The sequence below is a fragment of the Homo sapiens genome, chromosome 1 (assembly GCF_000001405.40).
Source record: "Homo sapiens chromosome 1, GRCh38.p14 Primary Assembly".
Taxonomy (NCBI): domain Eukaryota; kingdom Metazoa; phylum Chordata; class Mammalia; order Primates; family Hominidae; genus Homo; species Homo sapiens.
In genome coordinates this window covers 106608756-106618236 of record NC_000001.11, presented here as the reverse complement: position 1 = coordinate 106618236, position 9481 = coordinate 106608756, and positions in this window count along the sequence as shown.

Sequence of the window (9481 nt, the reverse complement as noted above, 5' to 3'; positions counted from 1 at the left end):
CATGGCTCTGCACAAATACACCTGGGTGGTGGTTCTTCCCTGATCACCTTATTTAAAATCTCATTCTTCCAAGCTAACACTCTTAATTCCCCTCGTCTACCGTGTTGGTGTCCTCAATGTTATTTAGAACCAACTGGCATAGCAAATATGTCATTTTGTTTATTGACTGTAGTCCTCCTATCTAGACTGTAAGCCCCCTGCAGATGGATACACTGTTGTGTTTATTACTATATCCCTAGCACATAGAACACCGTCTGGAACATGGTAGTTGTTCAACAAATTTATTGATTACATGTCTAAGTAATTTTCAGTTTTCTAATTCAGGTTGTATTGTTTTATCACTAGAGTAGAAAACATAGGAGGAATGGGCATGGCACATAGTAGGTGCTCCATAAATATTTGTGTAATGTAGTTTTTAAATGAATTAGTGGGAAATATGATATGTTTAATTCTGTGTGGCAAAAAGTAAATGGGTGGAGATCATTCTGAGGATGAGAGAGCTAGTGTAACAAGATAAGGCTGCTGTGTTAATGAGATTTACGTTTTATTTTTTATAAGGGACCCTTGAATATTTTAGCTGTGGACTGATACCTGTGGATTATGGCAAAGAAATAAGCTGTGTATGCACTATCTCCTAAGATAGCCAAACTCATCTCCACCATCACTCCAGTTGAGACTCTTATTCATTTTTACCAGCAACAACCTCCCAACCAATCACTTTGTCTCCAATTTTTATTTCTCAAATGCATCCTTCATCTTGCCACATACTGATTTTCTAAAATATATATTGATTCACATATTGTTGACTTTCTGCCTCACTGATATTCCTCATGTTTATATATAAACCTACAGGTAGTTGGGTCTGAATCTTTAGGGTCAAATAACAGGATATATTGTTATATCCTGGAAAGTTATTATGGGATAAGGACTAGAGGGATAAGGATTAGAGCCTCATGTGGAGTCAGGGACTTCTCTTTATTTATCAAAATGTAAGGTTCACTTTCTCCACAAATATGCTACCATGATTTTCTATTCACTAAAAGTTCTTCAAGTGTCAGTACTTGTTAGAATTACCCCTATTCTCTAACTATTTTGTTTCATAATGACAATGCTTGGCATTTTGTAGCTGGGCTTTGGGGATAGGTACAAGGTATGCCATAAGTGTGTCCATAATGGGTACCTTCACCAGCTCCATTGCCAAGTTATTTCTGACATAGAATTGTAATTAATGGGAATGTGCTTTCTATGCTGTATATCAGTAATTTGGCAATGACAAAAACATACTCTTTCTTTGATGAACCTGAAAGTGAGAGGAGGTGAGAGCAAACTTACTAGAAAGCTAATTCTATTTGACATTCTACCCCAAGTGATATCAACAAGACTTTAAGTATGTTGATATAAATCAAGATGTAGCCGAAAGCTAGGTTAAGGCAGCTTGAAGAAACCGTTAGATCAGCTGTATTTATGTCCCTGGAGCAGATAAAGCAATGATGTTGCCTTCAGCATAGGATAAATTACTGACCCCTTCAGACAGTCAGCTAATGAAAAGGGGGAAAAAATCAACATCTGCTATCACAACCTATCAGTGCAGACATTCAGGGCATAGCAAGGGGAATTCACTAGTAAAACCACCAGTTGCCTAAGTTCGTTATCTTGGAGTCATTCTCATTATTTTGCTCTCAACATCCAATTTATTCTCAAATTCTATAACTTTTACTCCCAAATATTTCTCAAATTTGATCCCACTTCTCTATCCCTCCTCAAACTGTATGCATTTGGCATAAATTGAATAGTTTTTTAGCTGGTCTTGTTTTTAGAATTTCCCTCTATTGAATCCAGCTACTGAAAAGCTATCAAAGAGAGATTTGCCATAAAAATTACTCAGGGGCAACATGTTGACTCCAGCCATAAAATTAATGACTAATGTTTATTGTGTGCTTATGTTCCAGACACTTTCAAAAATGCTTTATGTGTTTTTATTTTATCTAAATAATACACCTATGAGATAGGATTACTATCCTCAATTATAGATAAGAAAACTGAGTCACAGAGCAGTTGAATGAATTATTCATATTCTCAAATCTTTTATAAGAGGTGCTTGAAATAGACTCCAGGTAGTTTGTCCTCTGATTCTGTGCATTTAATCACTACGTGATAACCCTTTCTTTGGATAGCATACAGACGTCATGACCAGGCCTCTACCTCCCTCTCCTGTTACAGTCACGACCCGCGTAATGATCTGTCCGTGGCAGACTGCATGTGTGAGGATGGTTTCATAAGATTATAATACTGAATTTTTACTACTTCTTTTCTATGTTTAGATGTGTTTAGATACACAAATACTTACTATTGTGTTATAGTTGCCTACAGTGTTCAGTACAGTAACATGCTATACAGGTTTGTAGCCTAGGCACAATAGGCTACACCAACTAGGTTTGTGTATGTTTTTTAATATTTTCAGAGCAAAATCACCTAACAATGCATTTTTCAGAACGTATCCCCATTGTTTGGCAACACATGACTGCAATCTCTCTAATACTGCCATGCCCACTGTAAGTCCCAGCTACAATTTCTGGAATGTGCCCTGCATGCCCAAACTTGCATGTTGTGATATCAGCCTAGATGTTCATCTGCTTCCATTTTCTACTTCTTGCTTTATATATAATGAAGTGTTACCCTTTTTGTTATTTATTTTATTTTTTGATACAGAGTCTTGCTCTGTTGCCCAGGCTGTAGTGCAGAGGCATGATCTTGGCTCACGGCAGCCTCCGCCTCCTGGATTCAAGCAATTCTAGTGCCTCAGCCTCCCAAGTAGCTGGGATTACAGGTGCATGCCACCATGCCCGGCTAATTTTTGTCTTTTTAGTAGAGATAGGGTTTTGCCATTTTGGGCAGGCTCTTCTCAAACTCCTGGCCTCAAGTGATCTGCCTGTCTCAGCCTTTCAAAGTGCTGGGATTACAGGTATGAGCCACCAAACCTGACCCCAAGAATTACCTTTTTACTTCTTCCAAGGACTGGATTTATAGGGCATTGCCATGTAGCTTGAAGTGTGGTGTTGGATCTCCTGAATCAGCAGTGATTGGATAATTGCTTAAGGAAAAGGGAGAGAGAAGCATATTTCTGAGCTTCATCCTAGATTCACTGGAGACAAGTCTTTTAGAATCGCTTTTTCAAACTCTTCAAGTCATGCTTATTCACATTAATGTTTGAGAGCCATTGATACAGTGATAGGATAATTGGGCTCTAGAATTAGGCAGATATGAGTCAAAACCTCAGCTTTGTCACTTTATGACCATGGGTTGGTTACCTAAACTGGCTGAGTCTTTCTTCAACTATAAAACAAAGCCATGAACAGTGACTGCTCATAGGACCATAATGAGAACAAAGTGAAAAAATAAATGTAAAGTGCTTGTGAAGGGTATGGGACATAGCAACAACTTAGAAATGCTAGCTGTAATTACTTTCATCCTTTGCTTATTTAGCACTTTGCTAATACCATTATTATGAGAATTCCTTGCCATCCTGTAATTTGGGGTTATGCACCTACCTCCTTTATTAAACTGAAGAGAAGCAAGTTGCCTCCAGCTCTGTGCTCTTCTGTGTTTAATATATGTCAGTTGAATGCATGATTAAATAATTTTTAAATGTCACACTTTCGTTTAAAAGCAATTTTCTAATCTCATTTTAAAAATATGTTTTCTGAAATTTTGTTTTATAGTATCTCTAAGGTAAGATAGATTCACTAATGGAAACTTGGAACTTTTCAAAAATATAATTTTGTTTAACATATGGAAAGCCTACTAGGTGCTGAGTAATCTTCTAGGCACTGGAGACATAGCAGTTTGAAAAGCAGGCCAAACAAACAAGAACAAAAACAAAAACAATCCTGTTTATCTCGAGTTTATAAGCTATGTATGTTTTGATGCCAGGACAAGAAATAGAGAATAAAAATTTAGATATACAGATAAAACAAATAGTGTATTAGTTTTGTATTGCTGGGTAACAAATTGCCACAAACTAGGTGATTTACAACAGCAAATATTTATTAACTCACAGTGTCCACATGCCAGGAGTCCAGATGTGGCTAATCTGGGTTCCCTGCAAAGCTGCAATCAAGGCATTGGTCAGGCTGCATTCCTTCCTAGAGCTTGAGTTCGCTTCCAAGATCACGTGATTGTTGGCAGACTACAGTTGCTTCAAGCTGTAAGACTGAGGTTCCCGTTGTCTTGTTGGCCGTGATCCGGGCCACTCTCAGCTGCTGGAGGGTCCCACAGTTTTTTTCCATGTGGTCACAGTCTCTTACAACCTGGCAGCCTCTTTCTTCAGGCCATCAGGAGAAGCTCTTGCTCCAGTCAGCTAACAAGGAGTTTTATAAGCATAACCTAATCAAAGGAGTGCTATCCCATCGCCTTTGTCACACACTGTTATCTAGAAGCAAGACACATGTCCTGCCTAGACTTAAAATAGGGGTTTAATTTCTGGGTGTAATTCACTGGAGGTCATCTTGGAATTACACTTACCCCACACACATGGTATGTCAGATGGTGATAAGTTTAATAGAAAGAAATACAATGAGGAAGGGAGAAAAATGTCTCAAGGTGATTAAGATGCTAGTCATTGCCGTGTAAATGAGAAGGGGCAGGGGAGGAAAAGTTCTCTTTTTTATTTCAGTATATTTTATACATTTTTTTAACAGCTTTGACTATAAATAATATATCAATTAAAGGATGTAAAAACTGATTAAATGTTGAAACCTTTAGTAAAACTCAGTTAAAACAATCACAATTATATGGCTGTCTTCTCCATCTAGACCAATCTGAGGAGAGAAGAAGCATCTCACACAATAAAATCAATGTCTTAGAAATAAGCCACACTAAAGAAGGAAAGTACAAATGAACACTTTTCTCCTCAGGGATTTCTATTCATCAGTTAAGAGTGTGGTTTTCTTCTTTTATTGCTTGTAATTCATCTCAGAAAGTTCTTTATTCCCCGGAGGCTGTGCCTTACTCATTCCCACTCACTGTGCGATTGGGTCCCTACGAAGCAGTTATTTTTAGTCAACAATTTATACTCCTAATTTGTTTCCTAGGTATTATTATTGGTTATCTCACCAATCTTACAAACTCTATTTATATCCCAATCATATGAGCATCTCAAAAGCCATTAATATTAGAAGAGTAAACTTGTCTTCGTAATAAGTTTTATTTCTGATTGAAACAGGAGAAACCTAGAAGCAGTAAGAAATTTCTGAGCCATATGTTCTACGCTGAAAACATTATAACTTGTCAAGGGAACATCAATCCACATAGGATACCCTCCCCCAGCCAAACTAGATACTTTCTTTTTTTTGAAGGACCAGTGACCATTCTTTACATGCTTGGCTTTTTCTTTCTTGGGCTATATCAATATTTTGTTCTCTAGAAGAGGATTTTCCTGGGGGTAAGAGGGTGTAGATAAAAGAAGGTGGAATAAAACTAGTCAATTTTGCAGTCAACTGTCAGTACCACTCAATGGCTTGATAACAATGAAGATAACCTTACTAGAAAGAAACTTTGATCTTATCTTCAGCTTTTAATTACCTATTGTCTGTCCACATTATAAAAGCTAAAATTAAGAGAATATTAATCATTTTGTATAATTTTAGGGAATTATGATATTTTCTTTCTCCATTTAGTAAGCAGACCCAATTATAATTCCACATCTTCTTCTAAAGTATATCATGGAGGGGGGATGTTTGATCTGATTAGTATTGTCTGCTTGAGCATAAATTTCTTTGAAGTATTATGTTTATGTTCAAAATCCACATAAAATTTTTTATAAACATGTTTATTTTCATAAAACAATATTGTTATAAAGTACTGACCATAATTGGAGCGCGCACACACACACACACACACACACACACACACACACACACACAGATACCTCCTATAAAGCTATTAAAGCTTGAAGTACCACAAACACAAGAAGTACTACTATGTAACCTAATTTTAGAAAAACAATAAAAGAGTTACCAGGCACTACTCTAAGAATGAAATTAAAATACCTGCATGATAACAAGCAGGTATTTTGTTATAATCTTCAACCTGCTCTTAGTTTTATATTGGATTGCAGGCATATCTCATTTTATTGCACTTTGGAGATACTGCATTCTTTACAAACTGTAGGTTTATGCCAACGCTGCATTGAGCAAGTTTTCCCAGCAGTATGTGCTCACTTAGTGTCTCTGCATCACACTTTGGTAGTTCTCACAATTATTTCCGACATTTTCATTGCTATTATGTATATTATGGAGACATATGAGCAGTGATATTTGATGTCATTATGGTAATTGTTTTGAGACACCATGAACCATGTCCATATAAGACAATGAACTTAATTGGTAAAAGTTGTGTGTGTTCTGACTGCTCCACCACTGGACCATCCCCTGTCTCTCTCCCTCTCCTCAAACTTCCCTTTCCCTGAGACAGAACAATATTGAAATTAGACCAAATAATAACTCTACAATGGCCTCTAAGTGTTCAAGTGAAAGGAAGTAATTGTAGGTGTGGTAGAAAGAACAAGAGAACTAGAATTAGAAGCGGAGCCTGAAGCTGCAACTGAATTGCTGCAATCTCGTGATAAAAATTGAATGAATGAAGACTCACTTCTTATGAATGAGCAAATAAAGTGTTTTCTTAAGATGAAATCTACTCCTGGTGAATATGTTGTGAACATTGTCGAAACATCAACAAAGAATTTAGAATGTAACATAAACTTAGTTGATAAAGCAGTGTCAGGGTTTGAGAAGAATGACTCAAATTTTGAAAGAAATTCTACTTCGGTTTTGCATAAAATGCTGTCAAACAACACAAATGCTACATATAAATCATTCAAGAAAGGAAGAGTCAATTGATGTGGCGAACTTCATAGTTACTTTATTTTAAGAAATTACCACAGTCACCCCAACCTTCAGCGATCACCACCCTGATCGGTCAGCAGCCATCAACATCGAAGTAAGACCTTCCACCAGCAAAATAGTATGACTGCTGAAGGCTCAGATGATAATTAGCATTTATTTTTAGCAATGAGATCTTTTAAAATTGAGGCATGCACATTTTTAAAGATATAATGCTATTATACACGTAGACTACAGTATGGTGTAAGCATAAGTTTTATATGCACTGGGAAACTAAAAATTTAGTGTGAATCACTTTATTGTGATATTTGTTTTCTTGATATGGTCTAGAATTCAATCTGCAATATTTCTGAGATATGCCTTTATTTTCTTGATAACATACTTAATACCACTGTGTGCAGACTTATGAAATAAATGTATTGACTATTTCTATGCATGTAAAAATTAGGTATATGAAAGCCTTTACATGTAGAAATTTGTTCAGATCATTAATTGTTTCACTTACAGGAAGTCAGTTAAAATTCATCAACCCAAGGTAGATTTACATGGTTTTTCAGTCTACTTCTTTCTCTTTTCCCTTCTCTCTTGTTCTTCTTCTGTTTCTCTGCTCTTCACCTCTATCTCACAATGTCATCATCAACCTCTGTTCTTTTCCCATAAAATGTGTTGCCTCTCTAATAAAGTCTCTTTGCTTCTCCAGTTTTTCTCTGGTTTCTACTTTTATCTTGATCAACTGATTCTTCTCTTGCTGGCTGTTTGCATTTGTCCTCCTTATGCCACTATCTGTCTTGAGTTGTGTCCTCTGATTTTCTTTTCTTCCCCAGTTGCTTCTGTTTTGGCTGTTTATTTGCCAAAAGAAAATTCTTCACTTAGCATTTACTAATTTCTGTTTCCTTACTTGAAAATAGTCCTGAGTTAGTTTTGTGGGCTAGGACAAAATTAGGCATTGATAAAGTTAAATTCATGTCTTCAGCTCCATTCAGTCCTTCAGTCAAGTCAGTCCTGATACATGACAAGCTTGGTCATCTATTAGATGTTTCAAACATAATCGCGAGTGACCTCTTGGATATGGTATGCTATGCTATAGCCTCATATCTGGTGGTACTGGAGTAAGTCCTAAATTCCCATTGCCTATCAAATCACAGCTTTCACCAGGAACATCCACTGTGTTTGTTCATCCCTTACAAAAGAGGTTGGTTTTGTTTTTTAAAGTATATACCTATTCGTCCCTTTAGAGCTGGATCTCAGGATTGGAATTCCAACCTATTTTGGGAAGACCAATTTTCCTGACTGTCTTATTTTACATTCTTTCTCCTGGGGGTTGGATTCTTTTCTTTGAGCAATAGCTGGCATCCTGAGATGGCTGCTTAAAAACATAAAGGCCACTCAAAAACATAAAGCTACCAGTGCCACCATTCCCAGACACTTTTGACTTCATGTTTAAACTAAAAGCAGACTCCTTCTTGGAGCCAACAGGGGTTTGCAATGATACACTGTGATTCAGGGAGTTGGTAGCCATGTTAAGAGTCAGGCCCACTGCAAATGTCCCCTAGCCTGTGACTTTCACATTCTTAGCTTTTTTTTCCCTTTAGATTGATCTGTCATTGAAGTCCTATAAGCTTCATTCACTAGTCTTCCTGATTTACGAAATCAGCTCACCAAAAAAAAGGCAGCAGAAGAATCAGCTCAGCACTTCTCACTTATCATTAATTAATAGCAACATATAGGTTCCTTAATGATATTTTTTTAGCAACACTTGCACTTCAACCTTAATGTCAATGGTCTTACTGAGGAATCGTAGACAATAAAGTACTCTTTGTACAAGATAGTAGTACCTCGTTACTAGCTTATTTTCTATGGATGTGTTATATATATGTGTATGTGTGTACACATCTGTCTTTCTCCTTATATATAATATAGATATAGCATATACATATATAATGTATATTTTTGTATACACATAAATATATAATCTGTATATTATCTAAACTCTTATATTACCTTTAATACTTTTTAATATAAAACTATTATTGGAAGGTTAAAATTTTTATTCACTTTAAAAAATATTAATCAGTTTTATACTATTCTTTAATGAGATTATGATTTCAAATATATGATACTATGTCTTTAATTAGAGCCTGTATTCAAACTACTGATGAGATCACAGCAAAATCACTCAAAATCAAGGACATTATTTTTCCCTTCAAAGAAGGCAGAAAATCTTTTGAGCATTTGCTAATGAGTGCTAACATTTTTTTTTTCATTTACTTTGTTTTATTCAGGGAAATGGAATGTTTTGCCTGGATGTTAAAAGTCTGACTAATTGGAAAAGAAAGTTCAGTTTCAGCAAGTAATAGATTAATCCTTCAAATTGTTAGCTTCTAGAAACAGCTGTATCTTTCACCCTTTGAGATTTCTACTCATACCTATTTGACATTAAGTTCATTCACAGAAGCTTGAAATAGAAATGGGCAAAATGGATCATTCTTTATATTCTTCTGTCAGTAGTGTGTGGTTTGCTGCATTTTAGTTGGAGAAAAGATATACATTTCAATGTCCCCAATATTAGATTCCTTAGACAG